Consider the following 23,389-nt stretch of genomic DNA (forward strand, 5'->3'; position numbering starts at 1 on the left):
GCAAATCCAAAATAGCCGTGATAGAAACAGATAGAAGGGCACTTCTCTCTTATATAAATGAAGTCCACAAGCAGGCTGTCCAAGGGTGGCATGGCATTCCACAAGGCAGGAACTGTGCTTGCTTCTATCTTCTGGTTCCCTCATCTTCAGTACAATATGCTGCTCAAGCAGCAGCCATCATATTCACATTCCAGCCAGCAGGAAGCGGTAAGGAGTCAAAAAAGGCACAGCCTTTCAGAAGACACACACCTCTGATTACATCACGTTGGCCACAGCATAGTCACATGGCCTCACTTAATTGCATGGAAATTTAGGAAATGATTTTGTGATGTTTTTTGTTTTTGTATTTGTTTGGTTGGTTGGTTGGCTGGTTTTGTTTTTTTGAGATGGAGTTTCACTCTGTCACCCAGGCTGGAGTGCAGTGGCACCATCTCTGCTCACTGCCACCTCTGCCTCCCAGGTTCAAGTGATTCTCCTGCCTCAGCCTCCCGAGTAGCTGGGACTACAGGCAGACACCACCACGCCCGACTAATTTTTGTATTTTTAGTAGAGATGGGGTTTCACCATGTTGGTCAGGCTAGTCTCACACTCGTGGCCTCAATGATCCACCCGCCTCAGCCTCCCAAAGTGCTGGGATTATAGGTGTGAGCCACTGCTCCCAGCCAGGAAATGTATTGTATTCTAAATAGTCACATACCAGCTCAAAATCAGGGATTCTGTGTTTATGGAAGGAGGAAATAGATATTGGGGGACAAGTCAGAAAAAAAAAAAAAAGGAAAGACATTGAGAGATAACCAGCAATCAAGGGTCAACCAGTAATCTCTGCTACAATGCCGTACGTATCGGTTAATATGCTTTTTTCACTCAATGTGTACTGGCTTTCTATCCATGCTTTATTCTTATACATTTCCCTTGTTATTTGGGGGGTTATATTGTTCTTATTTTTCTATCTTCTTCAGATAGAAACCTCAATCATTTATTTGAGGCCTTTCTTCTTTTCCAATTTAGCATTGAAAGCTATAAATTGCCTTCCAACACTGTTCTAGATGCATCCCACAAATTTTGGTATGTTGTGCTTTTCATTATCATTCAGTTCAAAATATTTTCTAATCTCCCCTGTGATTTGTTCTGATTCCCATAGGTTATTCCAAAGTATGTTAATTTCAAAATATTTGGGGGTTTTCCATTTGTTTGTTTATTTCCACTGCAAATTTGAGACTTAATAATTCAACATATGGCCCATCTCGATGCATGTTTCATGTGCACCTGAAAATACTATGTATTCTGCCATTGTTGGGCATAATGTTCTAAATGCCAGTTAGGTCAAAGAGGTTGATAATGCTGTTCAAGTCTTCTCTATGCTTAGTGATTCTATGCCTACTTGTTTTATCAATTACTGAGAAAGGAGTGTTGTATGTGACTGTTTCTCCTTCCAGTCTGTCAGTTTTTCCTTTACCTTTTTCTTTTTCATGGCTGTACTACTTTTCTACAGTATGGATGTACCATAACATATTTTACCCATTGAGGGGCATTTAGGTTAGTGCAAATGTTTTGCCCTTCACAACAGTGTGACATTCAATATTTTTACATGTATAGAAGAGATTACCAAATTCAAATTTACTAGTCAAAGGGCACATACGTTTTACCTTTTGACACACCCTGCCAAATTGCCCTCCAAAGGGGCTGTTTTGTTTATATTCAGATGAATTGTGCCAAATTCCCTACTTTGTGACCCACATTAGATATTACCAGTCTCTTCTCATTTGACCTTTTATTGGGGACAAGATGAGAGAAAGTAGGAAGGAAGGTGTCTCATTGCCTATTTTGCTTTTCCCTAATTATAACAAAGTTGAGCTGTATTCTGCTCAATGACTGTGCCCTTTAGCTGCCCAAAACCACAGTGAAGCTTTGAAATTACAGCTTTTAAGGGCTGCATTAAATTCTGAGCCTAGACTATTTCATTCTTTATTCTCTGCCTGGGGTAGAGGAGGGTGCTTTATTCCAGTTACCAGAGCCTCGGTATCCAGTTACTGATACTCTTGGTATCAGCCTAGAGTCCTGATTCCAGAACAGGAAATCTGGCATCAGTCAGGTCTGAATTTGAATCCCTCTGGCTCAGCCATTTGCCAGCTCTGTGACCTTGGGCAAGTAACTTGGCCTCTCTGAACCTTTGGACAGTCAGTTTTACAAAGGAGGATGACAAGCACTTTGCATAGGTGTTATTTAGATTAGAAACTGGGTGTGTAAAGCACCTCTCACAGCACCTAGCACCTAGCAGTCATTAATAACAATTAAATTTTTTAATAGCCATTCATTGGGCATTTGACACGTGAAGAGCACTGAGTTAAGCCCTTTTCCCAGGTTATTTCATTAATCCTCACAACAGTAAGAGATAACACTATTCTACAGATAAAAGATAACTAAGACTCTAAGATGTTAAGTAGCTTGTCCAAAGTCACACAGTTAGTAAAGATCAGAGCTAAGGATTAAATCAGAAATGTCTGGCTTCTAACTAAGCCTGCTTCCCAGGGTAGCTGGCTTATTCGACAGATCAAGAAAATGAGGCCCAGGGAGAGGAAATAACACATGGAATGAAGTGGTGAGCGAGCAGCAGCCATTTGAAGAAATATCCCTCTTCCTTCTGGGTCTGGGTGACCAGCTGGAGAAGAGACTGGAGAGAGTGGAGGAAGGGACAGCCACCCAGCAGAGGAGGCAAGAGCATGGAAAATGTCTCTTTCAGCCAATTTTCCTGAGGAACCCTGGCTGAGGCTCAGGGCTGGGAATGGAAAGTGTGCAGGGAGGAGGCGCAGCCGCGTCCACCCGGAGAAACTGTCTGCAATGTCCTGCCGGGAGAGGCCAGGGGGAGGGAACTGCTGGGACCGCAGTGGGTGAAGGAGCCGGAGGGGCAGATCCGGGAGGATGAGGATCTGGCATCTGTCCAGGGCCAGGTCTCCTGGGAGAGGAGGGGCAGGCATTCCCCGAGCTCCCTGCTTCCTCCTTGGGCTCCCCGGCTCTGCCAACTCCTGCTGTGCCCTGCCCATGAATCTGGGCATCAACCACTCCTGGAATGGAGATGCTGGCAAACTCGACTCTCTGGGGATGCGCACAGCTGACTCAGGGAGGGTGCGGTGGCCAGGAAGAAGGATCGATCCTATTCTCAGAGATCTTCGCCAGGGCTGGTTAAGATCTGAGAGCCATCAGCCACATCAAATGCATCCTGATCTCTATGACATCAGTGCGGTCCCTCTGCCTGGTAAATCTCCTCTTGCTACTCACAATGCCCATAATTCCACCATTATGGATACAACCAAGGCTCTTGTTCAGTATACAAAGGTATGGTCATACTAATCATTAAAATATTTAAATGCATTCCTACTAGTTGGTAATAACCCATGCCCTGAGTGTCCTCCAAGTACCAGGTATAACAGACCCTCCAGGCCTTCCTCTGGAAGCCTCCAGGGCCCCTCCCCTTAACAGCCATTAAAGGGGTAGTACCCTTACCACGGCAGGGCCACCCAGGGCTATGTGGATCATCAGTAAGTGATGGTCACAACCATTATTACTACTTTTCATATCACTCCTGGAAACAACCCTTTGGATCACAACTTTGTCTCCTGTTTAAAGGCAAATGGTAGAAATTTAGAGGTGAAGAGGCCCTGTGCAATCTCTTCATCTTTCAGATGAGGAAACTAACGCCCAGGGAGAAGCAGAGACTTGCCCAAGGTCACACTGCCAGGCAGTGTAAAACAAGGTATTAGAATGCAGGTCCCTGACTCCTGACACTTCCTTTAGGTGTCAGTTTATCTGGACCCCACACACTGAACTTGAGCAGGTAATGGAAGGAAGTGATGGGGAGGGACCTGTCTCAAGAAAGAAGTGAGAACCAATCATTTGGCTCTTTACCTGGTCACCATAGTCATGGCAACAGTCTCCTTGGTCACTATCTCCTTAGAGATAGTTGCCATGGCAACCACTACCCCGGGGCACCAACTTTCTGACACCCAAGAGCCTTAAGATAAACCAGAAGCAAGTCTGTTCCATAGCACTAACCCATATCAGAGCTCCGAGTAGGAAAGAGACTTGCCCAACATCACACAGCAAGCTGGCAGTGAAGTCAAGCTTCCTGAGTCCCCCACCCGAGGCTCTCACAGCAGCCCCACCCTCTCTACAGCTGACACCGCCCCTCCCCCACCTATCCCCATTTTTCTGCCTGCTTTGGTGCTTCCCACATTCCTCCAGCCCTCAGTCAGGATCTCCTTCCCACGGCATCTCACCCTTGGCTGCCTGTCAGCCAGCCCATCCTCCTGGGAACAGGCTGACATGAGTTTTGTGTAGGACTCATCGCAGGGGTTTGCAACATTGGCTGAGGCTCCCTGAAGACCAAAGAGCCTTCAACATCCTTTGCCCTCCAAAGGAAATAATCTCCAATGGTGGAATTTCAGGCTCTATGCTCAGAACTGAGTAGCTCTTTTTGGGGGGTCGGGCCCATCCGCTGTGTAAGGCAGAAGTTGCTGCCCCACTCTGAGTCTAGAATCACTCCGAGTCTGATCCCCTGTTTTGTTTTTATCAAGTCCCTTTTCCTCTCTGGGACTCAGTATCCCCACCAAAGACAAGGGGATGAGGATACCGTTCTACAGTCACCACCACCACCACCATCAGAAGACTGCCAGAGACCAGACGCAATCTAGTGTTTCAGTATAACCAAACAAGGAATGGCCATGGTTTAAAGAACTGGCCTACCTTCCCGCTATCTTCTTTTAGAAAAATGGAATCTCAGGATTGGAAGGATGTCCCAGGCACAGGGAAGATCTTGAGCAAAAGCAGGGAGGCTGAAAAGAATCTAGGGAACCTGTGACTACCTAGTGTGTTGACGTGTAAGGATAAAGAGAAAGTAGGGCCTATAATCCCAGCACTTTGGGAGGCCAAGGAAGGAGGATCAATTGAGCTCAAGAGTTCGAGACCAGCCTGGGCAATACAGTAAGACCCCACATCTAAAAGAATATAAATAAATAAATAAATAAACACAGAGAAAGTAGCCTAGCAGGACAAGCCAGAGGAGATTAAAAGGGATCAGTCACCAGTCCCAGGGCTAAGGACGTTGTCTCTGACGCCTCCTTTCTGTCCTTCTGTTCCTGCCCTCAAAAGCAATGAGCACCAAGCATTTGCAAACTCCAAGTCTCAGGGCTTCAGGGACTCACCAAAGATGCTGAGGCACTCCCCTGCCTGGGTCTAACCTGTGCAATTCTGATACTGTGGGATGGAGGGGATGGAGCTGCATAGGTTGAAGGGCAAAAGAGAGCAAGGAGCACTGCAGGAAATCATCCACTCATCCATTCATTTGATGAATATTTATTAAATGCAACCCAAGCTTGTGACCTTGGGCAAGTTATTTAGCCTGTCTGTACCTCGGAGTCCTTGTGTGCATAATGAGGACAGTGGAGATGCCTGCCCCGTACGATGGTGTGAGGATCAAGTGAGTTTGTAAATGTTTAGTGCAGTGCATGGGAAGCAAATCAGTACCCCATGCATGTGTGTTATAATTATAATGATTACTGAACATTTACTATGTGCTGGGCACTCTCTAGACAGTAGAAGTACTGGGTGAAGTTCAGTGTGAACACAACATGCATAATTTCTGCCCTCAAGGAGTTCACAGTCTAATAGGAGAGACAAACCAAAAAAGACAACTTTATTAAAATAATACAAAGAGGCCAGGCGCGGTGGCTCACACCTGTAATCCCAGCACTTTGGGAGGCCGAGGTGAGCGGATCACCTGAAGTCAGGAGTTCGAGACCAGCCTGGCCAACATGGTGAAACCCCTTCTCTACTAAAAATATAAAAATCAGCTGAGCATGGTGGCACACACCTGTAATCCCAGCAACTCAGGGCGCTGAGGCAGGAGAATCACTTGAACCTGGGAAGCTGAGGTGGCAGTAAGCCAAGATCATACCACTACACTCCAGCCTGAGCAACAGAGCAAGACTCCATCTCAAAACAATAATAATAATAAAAAGAATTACAAATTATTGCATCAGATCTAAATCTTAACCTCCAAACTCAAGTGTGCAAGAAATATTCATTTTTTTATTTTCTCAAAAAGCAAATTCTACTCCTATCCCCTACTCCCATCCTTCTGGGCTGCATGGAAATTCAGTCTCCATCCTTACTGAAGCCACTCCATGACAAGAAACAAGGAGGGAAGACAGGGACTCCGCCTGGCACTGAACCACGTGAAGCCTCTGACCACGGTGCCCAAGCCCTCAATAGCCCCTGAAATCCAGCAGCCCCTGCAAGCCAAGCCAAGCGAGGGGCCTGGGAGTCTTGCTGGAGGCTGGAATCACCAGGCCTGAATCCAGCCTCCCCAAGCACACCACCTGGCCATCCCCACAGTCTAGCCACCTCTTCGGGTAGGAGATCTCCCTGATCCTGGACTCCACCAACCTTCATGGCCTCTGACACCTCCTTTCTGTTCTTCTGTTTCTGCCCTCAAAAACAATGAGCACCAAGCATTTGCAAACTCCAAGTCTCCAGGGGCCAAGCAGATAGCAACAAAAAAAAGTATGAGACTTGGTGACCTGAGAGCACATGCCTTGCCTAAAAAGGTTAGCATAGGCCAGGTGCAATAGCTCACATCTATAATCACAGGGCTTTGGAGCAGGAAGATGGCTTGAGGCCAGGAGTTCAAGACCAGCCTGGGCAACATAGTTAGACATTATCTCTACCCCAAAAAAAGTTTTTTTTTTTTCCCAATAAAAAAAGGTCAGCACAACTTAGCTTACCAAACTTATCAGGTAATGTAGCCTCGTGGTTAGGGGCTGCATTCTAGAGCTATGCTGCCCAGGTTCAAATTCTGGTGCCACTCTTTGCTGTCTGTGAGTCCTTAGGCAAGTCACCTAACCTCTCTGTACCTGTTTCCTAAACTATGAAAAAGAATAATACTTGTGGCCTTGTGCAGTGGTTCACGCCTGTAATCCCGGCACTTCGGGAGGCCGAGGCAGACGTATCACCTGAGGTCAGGGGCTCGAGACCAGCCTGGCCAACATGGTGAAACCCTGTCTCTACTAAAAATACAAAAATTAGGCTGGGCGCGGTGGCTTACACCTGTAATCCTAGCACTTTGGGAGGCCAAGGCGGGTGGATCACGAGGTCAGGAGATCGAGACCATCCTGGCTAACACGGTGAAACCCCATCTCTACTAAAAATACAAAAAAATTAGCCAGGTGTGGTGGCGTGCACCTGTAGTCCCAGCTGCTGGGGAGGCTGAGGCAGGAGAATGGTGTGAACCCAGGAGGCGGAGCTTGCAGTGAGCTGAGATTGCGCCACTGCACTCCAACCTGGATGACAGGGTAAGACTCTGTCTCAAAAAAAAAATTAGCCGGGCGTGGTGGCACATGCCTGTAATCCCAGCTACTCCAGAGGCTGAGGCAGGAGAATCACTTGAACCCAGGAGGCAGAGGTTCCAGTGAGCCGAGATCACGCCACTGCATTCCAGCCTGGGTGACAGAGTGAGACCCTGTCCCAAAAAAACAAAACAAAACTTGTACCGGTAGGTACGGCAGCTTCACATGAGAAAGCACTTAGGACAGTGCCTGACATTAGTAGTTACTCAGTAAATGTTAGCACCCATCACAGGAAAATACAGGGCCAAGACTTCCAGACCTACTAAATGTTCAAAAGAAAGCAACTATCCAAATTTTTATTCTGAAACTGCTCCATTTTTTAACCTTGGTAGCTAAGTAAACCCAGATTTTTGTTTCTGTTTTGTTTTGTTTTGTTTTGTTTTTTAGAGACGATATCTCATTCTGTTGCACAGGCTGGAATTTAGTGGCACAATCATAGTTCACCACAGCCTCAAACTCCCAGGTTCAAGCAATGCTCCCGCCTCAGTCTCCTGAGTAGCTGGGACTACAGGTACATGCCACCAAGCCTGGCTATTTTTTTTTAGTGTTTTGTAGAGAAACGAGGTCTTGCTATGTTGCCCAGGCTGATCTCAAACTCCTGAGCTCAAGCGATCCTCTCACCTCAGACTCCCAAATAGCTGGAACTACAGGCACAAACCACCACCATGCCCAACCAAAGCCAGTTTTTAAACCTTGGCAAAAGTCATACAAAACACATCTGTGAGCAGGACTGGGCCTATAAAACTGACAATTTACAATATCTGCTCTACAGTGTTTAAGCTTATAGAAAGTGGAGTCCAGAAAGGGAAGAGTCTTGGAAGCAGCTTTTGCTTTGGGCCCTAGAACCAAACCTCCCCTAGGCAAGAGGGTACAGAAAGGGGAGGGACAAATAGAGAGAGAAAGATGCAAAGTATTAATAATACATCAAATCACCCTGGTACGTAAATGCTATGTGCTGTGAGGGTTTGTTTGCCTTTTAAGTAACTCAGATAAAGATAGAAAAGTGGTCAGGGGCTGGGTGCGGTGGCTCATGCCTATAATCCCAGCACGTTGGGAGGCTGAGGCGGGAGGATCGCTTGAGCCCAGAAGTTTGAGACCAGCCTGGGCAACACAGTGAGACCCCATCTCTACTAAGAATACAAAAAGTAGCTGGGTGTGGTGGTGGGTGCCTGTAGTCCCAGCTACTTGGGAGGCTGAAGCAGAAGAATCGCTTGAACCTGGGAGATGGAGGTTGCAATGAGCGAGATCGTGCCACTTGGAAAGTGAGTTTGAAACTAGGACCCATAAGAAGGAGCTACCTTAATAATAATAATAATTAAAAAAAAAAAAAAAAAGCAGGGAGAGAGAACACCAGGCAGGGGACACCTATACAAAGGGTCTGAGGCAGAAAAGAGCTTGGATCGCAAAAGAAGATGTGCAATGAATGAGCTGGACAACTAGGCCATGCTGAAGAGCGTGAAGTTATCTTGAGGGCAGGGGCACCGGGGAGTCATCGAAGGGTTTCAAGCAAAGAGATGCAATGTGCAGGGGACTCCAGGAGACAAATTAGGAAGCTGCTGAAGAGCCCAGGAGAGATGGGCTGGCTTGGATTGGCCAGCAGCCTTAGATATGAACAGCCCCAAATTTCTGTGGCTGGAATTGGCCTTAAAGTCAAAGACTGCATTTGAGCCTCAGAGTGGCCTGCTGCCTCCCCATGAGCCAGGTCCAAGTGGTGGCCCTCATCCCAGTGTTCCGGCCCGGCCAGAACCCGGCCACGTAGCGGGGACTGTCTGTTAACTGGCTTATGCTGCCCTCTGCTGGCAGGAGAGGGCACCTGAGCAAGGGGAGCTGCAGCCTCCCAAAGCCACCACGGTGGGTCAACAGCGCGGTGGCTCACATCTGTAATCCCAGCACTTTGGGAGGCTGAGGTGGGTGGATCATCTGAGGTCAGGAGTTCGAGACCAGCCTGGCCAATACGGTGAAACCCCGTCTCTACTAAAAACACACAAAAAAATTAGCCGGGCATGGTGGCGCTCGAGGCAGGAGAATCGCTTGAGCCCAGGAGGCGGAGGTTGCAGTGAGCTGAGATTGCACCACTGCACTCCAGCCTGGGTGACAGAGCAAGACACCATCTCAAAAAAAAAAAAAGAAAAAGAAAAAAAGAAACAACTCCAGGTGGAGACAGGGACGGTGCCTCCACCCTACCCATCTTCCCCATCTCAGGTCCTGGCACATCCATCATGCAGTAGGTCAGCTCAGAAACCCAAGACACAGTCTTCACACTTCCTCCTCCCTCACATCCCATCAGGGAGTCCTTTTCACCCTATTTCCTAAACACAATCCTCAATTGGAAATATCCTAGATCTATCTTAATCCTGTCCACCTCTCTTTGTCTCCATTGCCCCCACTCCCAGTCAAAGCCACAAACATCACTTCTTTAGTCTATTTACTCACTTTTACTCTTGTCCTGGCCAATCCGTTTCCCACTCAGCAGCCGGAGTCCTCGTGGTGTCCTCTGATTCCAAGATCCTTTCTCCTCAGTGTTTGAGCCGGATGGGGACATCCCTGAGAAATACACAGCCCCACCCACCAGGGCACCCTGTCCATGTAGAAAACTGTCCTGAAGATGCAAGACAACAGAGGTGCTCACATCAGAGCCCCACAAACAAGGCACTTGGCCACCCTCCTACTGGGAATGTTTCCCCGTCTCTACTGGTGTCCCAGCCTCATGCCATCCATCTCACTGGCTCCTCTCCTTCCACATCCTCAGCTCCATTTCTTTTTTTTTTTTTTTTTTTTGAGACTGGGTCTCCCTCTGTCCAGACTGGGAGTGCAGTGATACAATCACAGCTCACTGCAGCCTCAACCTCCTGGGCTCAATGATCCTCCCACCTCAGCCTCCTGAGTAGCTACAGACGCGTGCCACCACACTTGGTTAATTTTTGGTTTTTTGGGTTTTGTTTTTTTGGTAGAGACAGAGTCTGTGTGCCCAGGCTGGTCTTGAAGTCCTGGCCTCAAGAGATCCTCCCTCCTCAGCTTCCCAAAGTGTTGAGATTACAGGTATGGGCCACTGCACCCAGCCGCCGCTCCCTTATATTTCTGTCTGCTACTTCTCTCCTTCCCACAAATTCCTGTTCACCTCTAATGCAAAGCAGATTTGCCATTTCAGCCCTGCCAGCCAGGGTGCTTAGGGCTCACATTTTCCTCAAGCAGGTTGCCATGGTATCTTCGTGTAATGTACATATATATATACTGTCCCCTCCCTAGGAAAAATACCAGTATCAGGACAACAGCATTTTTACCCAGATACATTGTGAGGCTAGCATTCATTCTATGACCCTGACGTTCATCCCATGACCGTCGATTTTTTTTTTTTTTTTTTTTGAGACAGAGTTTCACTCTTGTTGCCCAGGCTGGAGTGCAATGGTGCAATCTCGGCTCACTGCAACCTCCTCCTCCTGGGTTCAAGTGATTCTCTTGCCTCAGCCTCCCGAGTAGCTGGGATTACAGGCATGCGCCACCACACCCGCCTAATTTTTTGCATTTTTGGTAGAGATGGGGTTTCATCAGGTTGGCCAGGCTGGTCTCGAACTCCTGACCTCAGGTAATCCATCCGCCTCGGCCTCCCAGAGTGCTGGGATTACAGGCGTGAGCCACCGCACCCGGCCTGACATTCAACATCTTATGGCTTGGTCTGAGATTATGGAAATCCTCACTGACCTCAGGTTCAGCCTGTGTAACAGAAGCCTCACCACCCACCCCAGAGGCCTTTGAGAGTAGAACTGGACACCCTTCAAGACTCCCCTGACCAACTTGAGCCAAGGAAGCTCACAGATCTGGGAGCTTCTAGGTTCCTGCAGCAAATCATAACATGTTAACTCAGTTCCTGAGGGCTGCTGTTTGTAGCAAGCCTGGTTTTCTGTGAAAGAGAATGAAGACAAAGCAGATAAAAACAGAAAGGAGATGCAGAGAGAGGATCCTGGCAGCATGGACATCCTGGCTTCCAGGGGTTAGTGAGGCCCAATTCCATCCCTGCCTGTCCTTGCAGGGGTTTGGTTATTCACCTCTTCCTTGGAGTTCAAGAGGCCAATGCATTCCAGCCTTCGCCTAAAGCGTTTCAAACTGTGCTTCCAGCCCTTGCAAATCACAGAACCCTGAGTCTGTCAGAGGTTCTCTCTCTGACACTTCCCATTCCCTTTGCAAATCTAGCCTCCATCCCCAACTCAACAAAGAACAAAGGGAACTCTGAAATGACAATTTTCTCTTAAAGTCTTCAATTTTCCCTTTTGTTTTCTATTTTGAAAGGAGCAGAGTGACAAGTTCATTATACTCATTCCTTCCTCCTAGCCTATCATCACCATTTTCCAAAAGGGCCCGGCTTTATTTTACTTCCGTACCTATTTTTTTGTTGTTTTAATCCCAGTTGCCACTCTCATTCCCAACCCTCTATAGGCAACCATTCCAATGTGCTTGACGTACATTCTTTAATATGTAAATGACCTTGTTAGATTTGCTATGTAGACTTCTGATATATACCTTTGTCAGAGGTGCTTGAACCAGAGCAACTCCATCTTGAGTAGGGGCTGGGTAAAGTTAGGTGGAGACCTACTGGGCTGCATTCCCAGGCAGTTATGCATTCTTAGTCACAGGATGAGATAGGAGGTCAGCACAAGATACAGGTCACAAAACCTTGCTGATAAAACAGGATGCAGTAAAAAAGCTGGCAAAAACCCACCAAAACCAAGATGGCAACAAAAGTGACCTCTGGTCCTCCTCACTGCTCATTAAATGCTAATTATAATGCATTAGCATGCTAAAAGACACTCCCACCCATGCCGTGATAGTTTACAAATGCTATGGCAATGTCCAGAAGTTACCCTTTATGGTCTAAAAAGGGGAGGAACCCTCAGCTCCAAGAATTGCCCACCCCTTTCCCAGAACACTCATGGATAATCCACTCCTTGTTTAATATATAATCCAGAAATAACTATAAATATACTCAGTCAAGCAGCCCATGCAGCTGTTCTGCCTATGGAGTAACCATTCTTTCATTCCTTTGGTTTTTTTTTTTTTTTTGATACAGAGTCTTACTCTGTCACCCAGGCTGGAGTGCAGTGGCGCGATCTCAGCTCACTGCAACCTCCACCTCCCGGGTTCAACTGATTCTCGTGCCTCAGCCTCCTGAGTAGCTGGAATTACAGGCATGCGCCACCACACCCAGCTAATTTTTATTACAGATGGGGTTTCACGTTGTTGGCCAGGCCGGTTTCAAACTCCTGACCTCGTGATCCGCCCGCCTCGGCCTCCCAAAGTGCTGGGATTACATGCCTGGGCCACCACGCCCGGCCGTACATTAGCTATTAAAAAAAATAAAACATAGAAAATAAAATCTCCTTTATCCTTCAAGATTTGGTTCAAATGCCCACTCCACTGGGAGCCCTTCAATGGCAGAGACTGCTGTTGCCTCCTAACTTCCATTCTCCTCCTCTTTCATTGTAAGAAAACTCCTGCACTCTGCAGCTTGGCTTTTTTTTTTTTTTTTTTTTTTTTTTTTAGACAGAGTCTTGCTCTGTCACCCAGGCTAGAGTGCAGTGGCACAATCTTGGCTCACTGCAACCTCCAACTCCTGGGTTCAAGCAATTCTGTCTCAGCTTCCTGAGTAGCTGGGACTACAGTCACACACCACCACGCATGGCTAATTTTTGTATTTTTGTATTTTTTTTTTTTTGAGACGGAGTTTTGCTCTTGTTGCCCAGGCTGGAGTGCAATGGCGCGATCTCGGCTCACCACAACCTCCGCCACCCAGGTTCAAGCAATTCTCCTGCCTCAGCCTCTCAAGTAGCTGGGATTACAGGCATGCGCCATCACGCCTGGCTAATTTTTTTTGTATTTTGAATAGAGACGGGGTTTCTCCATGTTGGTCAGGCTGGTCTCAAACTCCTGACCTCAGGTGATCCGCCCACCTCGGCCTCCCAAAGTGCTGGGATTACAGGCATGAGCCAGCACGCCCGGCCTAATTTTTGTATTTTTAGTAGAGACGGAGTTTCACCATATTGGTCAAGTTGGTCTCAAACTCCTGACCTCAGGTGATCCACCCGCCTCAGCCTCCCAAAATGCTGGGATTACAGGCGTAAGCCACTGCGCCTGGCGCAGCTTGGCATATTTTTTTTTAAAAGAAAAAAAATAATATTCCATTTTTATCTAGGCAATTGCAAGATTTCCAATAACTAGCTTAATGCTGTCCCACTAATAGAGTGCACACAGCCTCCCTTGTGGCTAAACATGACCAGGTAATTATGGTCTGGCCAATTAAATGTAAGTAGAAGCATTATATAGAACTCCTGGAGTGATTGTCAGAGGGGAGGGGATGAAAACTCTTTTGCTCTTTCCTCCTCCTTCCAGACTACAATTTGAACAAGGTGTCCAGAGCTTTAGCATCCTTCTTAGATCATGAGGTGACCTTGAGGATGGAAGTCCTATGCTAGAACGATGAATACAATAGACAGAAGGAGCTGGATCCCCGATAGCCATGGAGCTGCTGTACTGGCCCTGAGCTGCCTGACTCCACATTTCTTTAAATTCATCTGTTTTAAATTTTTTTTTTTAAACAGACTCTCACTCTGTCACCCAGGCTGGAGTGCAGTGGCATGATCTCGGTTCACTGCAGCCTCCTCCTCCTGGGTTCAAGCAATTCTCATGGCTCAGCTTCCCGAGTAGCTGGGACTACAGGTGCACACCACTATGCCTGGCTAATTTTTGTATTTTTAGTAGAGACAGGGTTTCACCATTTTGGCCAGGCTGGTCTTGAACTCCTGAGCTCAGGTGATCCGCCCACTTGGCCTCCCAAAGCTTTGGGATTACAGGTGTGAGCCACTGCGCCTGGCCTCTTTAAGTTCATCTGTTTTAAATTGTTGTTATTTGGAGGTTTTCTGTTGCATGCAACCAGCCAAACCTAATCATAACTGACATGTTGTTCTGGTTATCTATTGCTGCATAAAGAGGAACTCCCAAAAGAACTATTTTGTCAAACTTACTGATTCTGGGGATCAGGAGTTTTGACAGGACTTTGTGGGCATGGCTTGACTCTGCTCCATGCTCTCTGGAGCCCCAGCTGGGAAGACTTGATGGTTTAGTGTGACTCAAGCAGCTGGGGACTGGGATCATCTGGAGGACTCTTCACTCACATGTCTGGCACCTGGACTGAGATAACAAAAAGACTGGACTCAGCTGGCATTGCTGACTGAAGCATCTACACATGGCTTCTCCATGTGACTTGGGCTTCCTTACAACATGGCAGTCTCTGGGCAGTCAGACTTGTTAAAAGTGGCTCAGAGGTCCTTGAGCAATTGTTCCACTGAACAAGGTGGAAGCTGTTTGGCTTCTTCCTTATTTCCTTTTTCTTTAATTTCCTCTAAAATATTTTATCTTCTTGTTTGGCCTCTTCTGACCTCGCTTCAGAAGTCATGCAGCATCAACCTTGTCTGCAGCTGCCCTGAGCCAGCAGTTCTCTACACACCCAGCATCAGCATCAAGTGAGATGCACCCAGCACGGTTGGAGCAGGCATGGGCAGAGCAATGGTAGCCAGGCTCCAGCAGGGGCTGCAACTTCTGGCACTGCTCCTACGGATGCAGATTTATACAGCTCAAACAACTGCTCTAACTTTTAAGTAACTTCTTCCAGAATAACGGCTGCCCCCAAGTCTAGCGAATGCCACCAATAAGGCATTGACAGTGTCCTGCAGTCAACAGCCAGTCTCCCCCCTCACTCCTCAGGGTCTCACTCTCTTCCTCTTCTCTGCTGTTAAAAGACTCAGGCCAGGCCAGGCATGGTGGCTCACGCCTGTAATCCCAGCACTCTGGGAGGCCGCGGCAGGTGGATCCCCTGAGGTCAGGAGTTCAAGACCAGCCTCAACAACATGGAGAAACCCTGTCTCTACTAAAAATACAAAACTAGCCAGGCATGGTGGCGCATGCCTGTATTCCCAGCTACTGGGGAGGCTGAGGCAGGAGAATCACTTGAACCAGGGAGTCGGAGGTTGCAGTGAGCCGAGATTGTGCCACTGCACTCCAGCCTGGCAACAGAGCTAGACTCCATCTCAAAACAAAAAAAAAAAAAAAAAAAAGTGAAACTATCTCAAAAAAAAGACTCAGGCCAAGACAGGTCTACACTTTCCCATCTTCTAAATTCAATTCAAAGGTCATCTAGAAGGCCAGTATGGCAAGGAAAAAACAAGTCTTCATCAAATCTAGTAGATCTAGATAAAATAAGATACAGGCCAGGCGTGGTGGCTCACACCTGTAATCCCAGCACTTTGGGAGGCCGAGGCGGGTGGATCATGAGGTCAGGAGATCAAGACCATCCTGGCTAACACGGTGAAACCCCGTCTCTACTAAAAATACAAAAAAAAAAAAAAATTAGCCGGGCACGGTGGCGGGTGCCTGTAGTCCCAGCTACTTGGGAGGCTGAGGCAGGAGAATGGCATGAACCCGGGAGGCGGAACTTGCAGTGAGCTGAGATCATGCCACTGCACTCCAGCCTGGGCGAAAGAACGAGACTCCATCTCAAAATAAAATATAAGATCCACATCTTGGTTGGGCGTGGTGGCTCACGCCTGTAATCCCAGCACTTTGGAAGGCCGAGACGGGCAGATCACGAGGTCAGGAGTTTGAGACCAGCCTGACCAACATGGTGAAACCCCATCTCTACTAAAAACACAAAAATTAGCCGGGCGTGATGGCGGGTGCCTGTTGTCCCAGCTACTCAGGAGGCTGAGGCAGGAAAATTGCTTGAGCCCGGGACACAGAGGTTGCAGTGAGCCAAGATCACACTACTGCACTCCAGCCTGGGTGACAGAACAAAACGCCATCTCAAAAAAAAAGATAAGATCCACATCTAATTTTATTGACACAGAAAATGTCAAGAACCCCAAATTTGGTTGGTTTGAAGAACATGTGAAGGGTTTGACTAGATGATGAATGTCAATATTAAATCAGCTGAAGTTTCATATACAAAATGAAGAGGAACAGCATTCAAACTTAGTTAAGACACAATTTCCTTGAGTGGCCAGGCATGGTAGTCATGCCTGTAATCCCAGCACTTTGGGAGGCCAAGGTGAGCAGATCGCTTGAGCCCAGGAATTCAAGACCAGCCTGGGCAACATGGTGAAACCCCATCTCTATAAAAAATGGAAAAATTAGCTGGGCATGGTGGTATATGCCTATAGTCCCAGCTACTCGGGAGGCTGAAGTGGGAGGGTCGCTTGAGCCCAGGAGGTCAAGGCTGCAGTGAGCTGTGATCATGCCATTGTGTTCCAGCCTGGGTGACAGAGTGAAAATGTGCCTTGAAATAAAATTTTCCTTTGAATACGGCTTAAGAAATATGGCCACTTAAAACTCTACCTTGAAAATAAATATAGATTTTATCTTATCTAGAGGTAGAGTGGGAAGTTTTCATTTGGTACATTAAATCTATAAGGCCATAAACAGGTAATATAAAAAGCTTTCATAATTCAATTTATATATAACATGAGAAGGAACTTCCAGGTGTTACTATGAATCTTCTATGTATAGTTACAGTCAATATACTTTATATAAGAGATAATTTTAATACCAATATAATCTAGATAACATTTTACTTTGTTATGTTATCATTGTTCTCTTGGGGAATAAATTTTTTCCTCTGAGGCTCTGGATTTGACATTGAATTTTGTGTGTACTAATTGACATGTGCCAGGGCAATGATGGACTGGAATCCACCCCCAAATCAAAGCATCATGGTAAATCTTGCTTATCCTTATAAAGTCAAATGATAGACATTTCCCATCACCTATTTCTATTCAACAAGAGCACCAGATTCAGTTAGCTAATCTGCTTCCAAAGAGTAGAACTGCATTGAGCTCAAATAATTTCAAAATACTGACTTTTTTTTATTTATTTATTTATTTTTTAGATGTGGTCTTGCTATGTTGCCCGGGCTGGTCTCTAACTCCTGGGCTCACACGATCCACCCACCTCGGCCTCCCAGCATGCTGGGATTACAGGCGTGAACCACCATACCCAGCCTATTTCTGCGTATGTTAAACATGCTTTACAATTTTAAAAATGAACTGTTTTGAAGGTAAAATTACAAATCTTGAAATTAAAAAAGCAAATATGTAAAGGAGCAAAAACTATAAATCAAACATTTGAGAAGAGAAAATTGGAGGCTAACTTGTATTAAATTCACAAAAACTTCTATACTTTCTGTAAATACTTTTTTAAAAAACTATAGATCAGAGGCTAGGCGCAGTGGTTCACGCCTGTAATCCTAGCACTTTGGGAGGCCGAGGCGAGTGGATCACTGAGGTCAGGCGTTCGAGACCAGCCTGACCAACATGGAGAAACCCCATCTCTACTGAAAATACAAAATTAACTGGGCGTGGTGACGCATGCCTGTAATCCCAGCTACTCGGGAGGCTGAGGCAGGAGAATCGCTTGAACCAGGGAGGCAGAGGTTGTGGTGAGCCGAGATTGCGCCATTGCACTCCAGCCTGAGCAAAAAGAGCAAAACTCAGTCTCACAACAAACAAAAAAACTATAGATCAGAATAACCACCTTTAGAACACTTTCGGTTATCAGTCAATATTTTTAGATAGAAGCTGGTAGTAAGCCTAAAGTGGGCTTAATTCTGCAGTAAACAACTGCCTCAACACATAGAAATCTTTTTTAAAATAGGCACTCTTGGCCGGGCGCGGTGGCTCATGCCTGTAATCCCAGCACTTTGGGAGGCCGAGGCGGGCGGATCACGAGGTCAGGAGATCGAGACCATCCTGGCTAACACGGTGAAACCCTGACTCTACTAAAAATACCAAAAATTAGCCGAGCGTGGTGGCGGGTGCGTGTAGTCCTAGCTACTCGGGAGGCTGAGGCAGGAGAATGGCGTGAACCCGGAAGCTGGAGGTTGCAGTGAGCCGAAATCGTGCCACTGCACTCCAGCCTGGGTGACATAGCAAGACTCCATCTCAAAAAAAAAAATAAAAAATAAATAAAATAAAATAAAATAGGCACTCTTGCGGGAGGTGGCAGCTCATGCCTATAATTGCAGAACTTTGGGAGGCCGAAGTGGGCAGATTGCTTGAGCCCAGGAGTTTGAGACCAGCCTGGGCAACATGCCGAAACCCCATCTCTACTAAAAACACAAAAAGTTAGCCGGGCGTGGTGGCACACACCTGTGGTCCCAGCTACTGGGGAGGCTGAGGTGGGAGAATCACCCAAGCCCAGAAGGTAGAGGCTGCAGTGAGCTGTGATCATGCCACTGCACTCCAGCCTGGGTGACAGAGTGAGACCCTGTCTCAAAATAATAATAATAATAATAATAATAATAGGCCCTCCTTGAAGTTTTTTGTTTGCACAGTCACACAGTGATGCTTAGATGTTCCAGTATCTAATATAGCCACAGTAGGCTGCAAGCAGTGGCTCATACCTGTAATCCCAACACTTTAGGAGGCTGAGGCAGGAGGATCACTTGAACCTAGGAGTTTGAGACCAGCCTGGCCAACATGGCAAAACCCCATGTCTAAGAAAATATATATTTTTAACTTTTTTAACAATATCAAAAATAAGAATCACATAAATAAACAGATTCTTCAAATTCTGAAAAGAGCCACAAAGCTTTATAAATTGTACAGGGGCATGAACTCGTAAGGTATTATAATTGCCTGGCACATAGTAGGCTCTCAATACATTTGCAAACTCCACACACACCTTACTTTCTTTTGCTTTATTTTTCTCTATTTATCTGCATTAACATGCTATGTAACACATAACTATACATTAACGTTTTACAAATTACAAATTTTTCTTGTTTTTTTTTTTTTTTTTTTTGAGACAGAGTCTCACTCTGTCGCCCAGGCTGGAGTGCAGTGGGCTCACTGCAACCTCCGCCTCCCAGGTTCAAGCCAGTCTCCTGCCTCAGCCTCCCAAGTAGCTGGGATTGTAGGCGCCCGCCACCACGCCCGGCTAATTTTTTATATTTTTAGTACAGACGGGGTTTCACCGTGTTAGCCAGGATGGTCTCGATCTCCTGACCTCGCAATCTGCCCACCTCGGCCTCCCAAAGTGCTGGGATTACAGGCGTGAGCCACCGCGCCTGGCCTTTTTTTTTTTTTTTTTTTTTTTTTTTTTCAGACGGAGTTTCGCTCTTGTTGCCCAGGCTGGAGTGCAATGGCTCAGTCTTGGCTCACTGCAACCTCCGCCTCCCGGGTTCAGGCGATTCTCCTGCCTCAGCCTCCCGAGTAGCTGGGATTACAGGTGCGTGCCACCACGCCCGGCTAATTGTTTGTATTTTTAGTGCAGACGGGGTTTCACCATATTGGTCAGGCTGGTCTCGAACTCGTGACGTCAGGTGATCCACCCGCCTCGGCCTCCTAGAGTGCTGGGATTACAGGCGTGAGCCACTGCGCCCAGCCCATTTTACAGACTTTTATTTTGTTCAGTTTCTTTATTGTCTTCCCAACGTCCCCCCACACACACTGCACTAAAATGCAAACTTCACGAAGGCAAGGAGGAACTTTTGCCTGTATTGTTCACCTCAGTGTCCCCAGAGCCTAGGTCAGTTGTTGGCATATTGAGGGACATTCAATAAATATTTAAGGAGTGAATAAACAATTGGATACCCAATAAATGCATGTATGAATAAACACATTCTTAGTTATTCGGAATATGAGGATTTGCGGAGAGTGGACAGCAGGGGATTGAGGAGACCGGCTGGGACTGGGAAATGGGCATTCGGGTCGCATGCCCACCGCAGTGGCCCAGAGCCCCTGTCCGGACCGCTAACAAGTTGCTTAGCAACCCGCCGCCCGGCCCTCGGCCACCGCTAGAGGGCGAGCGGGCGGGGAGACGTGCACGCGCGCGCGCGTGCGTGCAAGCGTGTGTGCGCGCGTGCGCGGCGCGGGCTTGGGAGGGAGCACGTCACTTCCTGTTGCCTTAGGGGAACGTGGCTTTCCCTGCAGAGCCGGTGTCTCCGCCTGCGTCCCTGCTGCAGCAACCGGAGCTGGAGTCGGATCCCGAACGCACCCTCGCCATGGACTCGGCCCTCAGCGATCCGCATAACGGCAGTGCCGAGGCAGGCGGCCCCACCAACAGCACTACGCGGCCGCCTTCCACGCCCGAGGGCATCGCGCTGGCCTACGGCAGCCTCCTGCTCATGGCGCTGCTGCCCATCTTCTTCGGCGCCCTGCGCTCCGTACGCTGCGCCCGCGGCAAGGTAGGGTCAGCGGGAAAACCGGGCACTTTCCACCCCCATACCGAACACGGCCGACATGGACCCTTCCTAGGCGGGACAGACACCTCTCCCCGGACACTGACTCTTCCCAGCCCTGATCACCACCGTTCCCTCTGTCTCGGGCCCACATTCCGGGGCTGGCATTTCCTACCCCGGGATCTGGGCACCGACCCCCGACCAGGGTATGATACCTTCCCCAATAGGAACTTGCTTCTGCTCCCGACCCGGACCCTGACACTTCCCTCCCTGTGCATCATGCCGCGGCTGGGAACGCTGTCAGCCCGTCCCCCACTGCGACTCGGGCACTGATTGTTCTGAGCCTGTTGGGCCCAGGCAGATCAGCCCCATCATGTATACCTGATGGATACTGGTCCTCACAACTTACTGAATGGTACAATTTCGTGTCATTCCCTGTTAGGAACCCTGCCTCAGCCCACCGCAGGGCCCTTTCTACCATCCAGACCCATCCCTAGACTCTGACTCCTGTCTCACTGGAATCTATGGCACCTTATGTGCTCACCTAGATCCCCCACACCTGGCCCTTGCCCCTGCCTCAAAAACAATGATCTCTTAGAGCCCAGTTTTTCACATCACTTTCTGGAACCATCCCAGTCAGCTGGCTCCTCAGAAGCTGGCATCTTGGTGCCTCTACTTTCCAACTAGGCATGGACGTCTTATTTTCCTGGTTTCCTCTCTTAACTACCATCCAACCTTGGACATGGCCTAGTCAAAACCTAGACCTTGTTCCTAACCTGTAACCCTTTTCCCACCCAGCCTTTGACCCTATCTCAAAGTAGCCCTTCTCCCCATACCCCCAAGACAATCCCCCCACCAAACTGGGCCTGTCTGCTGGGCCACTGTTGGCCCCTCTTGTGAGACTGGGCCAGACTCCATCCCTGGCCTTCCTCAACATCTGTCCTATTGGATAACTAGGAGGACTCCAGCACATTTCACCTTCTGCTTCTCCCTCCCCCTTCCCTGCCCCACTTCTTCCCTATATTAAGCCCTTTCTAGCCCGTTGTACCAATGACTTTTCACTTCCTGGCACCCTCTCCCTTCCTCCACAACCTCTTAATCTGCACCTTCCCGATGCTCCTCCCCCACCCAGACCTGAGGATGGACCTAAGTGGAAGTCTTGCCCAAAGAGGGCAGGCCCACAAAGCAGCTGCCACTTTTGAAACTGCTGAAGCTGAGGTTCTCAAAACACTACCCAACTTGAGCAGTAGCTGAGGCCTGCCATCTTCCTTCCCCAGGAGCAGAGAACTCACTACTGGCTCTGTATGCGATCAGATGCAAAGGAAAGTAGTTAGGCGGGGCTTAGGCTGAGAGACTCAAACATGACTCCATTTTCCTTTTTATTTGGCTTTTTCTAAGCTGAGTTCAGGTGATATTAAGCCTCTCTACTATGCCTGTCAGGTAGACACTTAGTGTAGAGAGCAGTTCTGAGATAACCCAGGACAGAGGAGGCGAAGGACAGCTGGCATAAGGCTAGGCAGCTTGATCTGAGCTGCTCTCCAAACTGAGTAATTCTCCCTGGCACCTTCTGTACATGGATCACTAATCTCTGCAGAAAACACCTTCCAGGCAACAGTATTTCCTGAACTTCCACCACTGTCAGGGGTAAGGGAGGATTGCTGCAAAGATGAGTAGGTCAGAGCCCTGTCACCAAGGAATTCGGGAGCGTAGGTGAAAGAATAATAACTAGATTGTGATTATACTACAAGCAATGCTACAAGGTTTAGGGAGAAAGATTGAGCACATCTGGGACAATGCAGGGAGGCTTTGTGCTAGAGGTAGGCCTGAGCCTTGACGTAGAGGTAGAATTTCAGCCAGGAGAAGGCATTCTAAGCAAAAGAAACCAGGTAAGCAGAGAGAGGTACGGAGGCAGGAGGCTACGAGGCAGTTCAGGAAATAGTGGAAGGTTTGGTGTGGCTGGAACAGAGGGTATGGATAGGAGAAAGCCTTAGCCTCTGAATACCTCTCCCAAGCATCTCCTGCAGGGCAGCAGGGTGTGGAGGACTGTATGAATTTACAAACAGGACCTGACCATTAAGAGCCTGCCACCACCAATGACCCAGATGCGGTAAAGCTTGCAAAACCTTGACGCCCTTTGATGCTCACAGCAACTGAGGTGGCAGGCAGAGCCAGTTTCATTATCCTCATTGTACAGGAAAAGAAACTGAGAGTCAAAGAAATGACTTCTGAAGATCACTCTGCCATTTAGGGGCAGAATCAGGTATGCCTAGTCCTCATCCAGGGCTCTCTCCTAACACAGGTACCTTTAAAGACAAGCAGCATTGACCTAGGGAAAGGACAGGGCAAATGACTCCCCTTCTACCCTGAGTCGTTTCCCTGGTCATGTGAAAAGGAGAGAGAAGAGTTAGTGTGGGGACCCAGTTTTGATTTCCCACCAGTGTTGGACCCCAAAACCAGTTGGGAGAGAGGGAATGTGAGGACAGAATCCCCAAGGGTCAAGGTGTCCATAACAGGCAGGGAAAATTGTGAAATCATGGAGAGAAAGAAGGTAGAGCCTCCAGGAGTATGTTGTGAAGAAGTAGCCTTGGGAGGAGCAGTCTCAGAGCAGCACCCATCACTGTCAGAGTCCTATATCCCAGACAGAAGCGAATATGACCCAGGCAGTAGCTGCACATTAAACATTGGTTTAAAGGGCCCTCAGCGAACAGGACTGGGTGCCTGCTGTGGGCTAGGCTCTGGGCTGGGTACCAGGAGTTCCGGGACAAAGAAG

At 47.9% G+C, this 23,389-nt stretch overlaps 1 protein-coding gene and 2 pseudogenes across 4 annotated transcripts in view, besides 1 other annotated feature; all 3 read left to right on the forward strand.

Moving 5' to 3' along the window:
• On the forward strand, window positions 6,791-6,862 carry TRS-AGA7-1 (tRNA-Ser (anticodon AGA) 7-1; annotated as a pseudogene).
• Window positions 16,733-17,328, forward strand: CD24P3 (CD24 molecule pseudogene 3; annotated as a pseudogene).
• Window positions 20,333-23,389, forward strand: part of HM13 (histocompatibility minor 13) — a 55,102-nt gene continuing 52,045 nt past the window's right edge. For all 4 annotated transcript variants that reach the window (NM_178580.3, NM_178581.3, NM_030789.4 and 1 more), the window contains exon 1: window positions 20,333-20,625. In NM_178580.3, the coding sequence (NP_848695.1) occupies window positions 20,443-20,625 (183 nt within the window). In that variant the 5' untranslated portion in view covers window positions 20,333-20,442. The remainder of the gene's footprint in view (window positions 20,626-23,389) is intronic.
• Window positions 20,930-20,999: a silencer, noted in NCBI's record as "silent region_12757". NCBI's record gives its function as "represses an Ori minimal core promoter by ATAC-STARR-seq in GM12878 lymphoblastoid cells {active_cell/tissue: GM12878}" and the evidence as "EXISTENCE:reporter gene assay evidence [ECO:0000049][PMID:35858748]".

Source organism: Homo sapiens, chromosome 20 (genome assembly GCF_000001405.40).
Source record: "Homo sapiens chromosome 20, GRCh38.p14 Primary Assembly".
In the NCBI taxonomy this organism is placed as follows: Eukaryota; Metazoa; Chordata; class Mammalia; order Primates; family Hominidae; genus Homo; species Homo sapiens.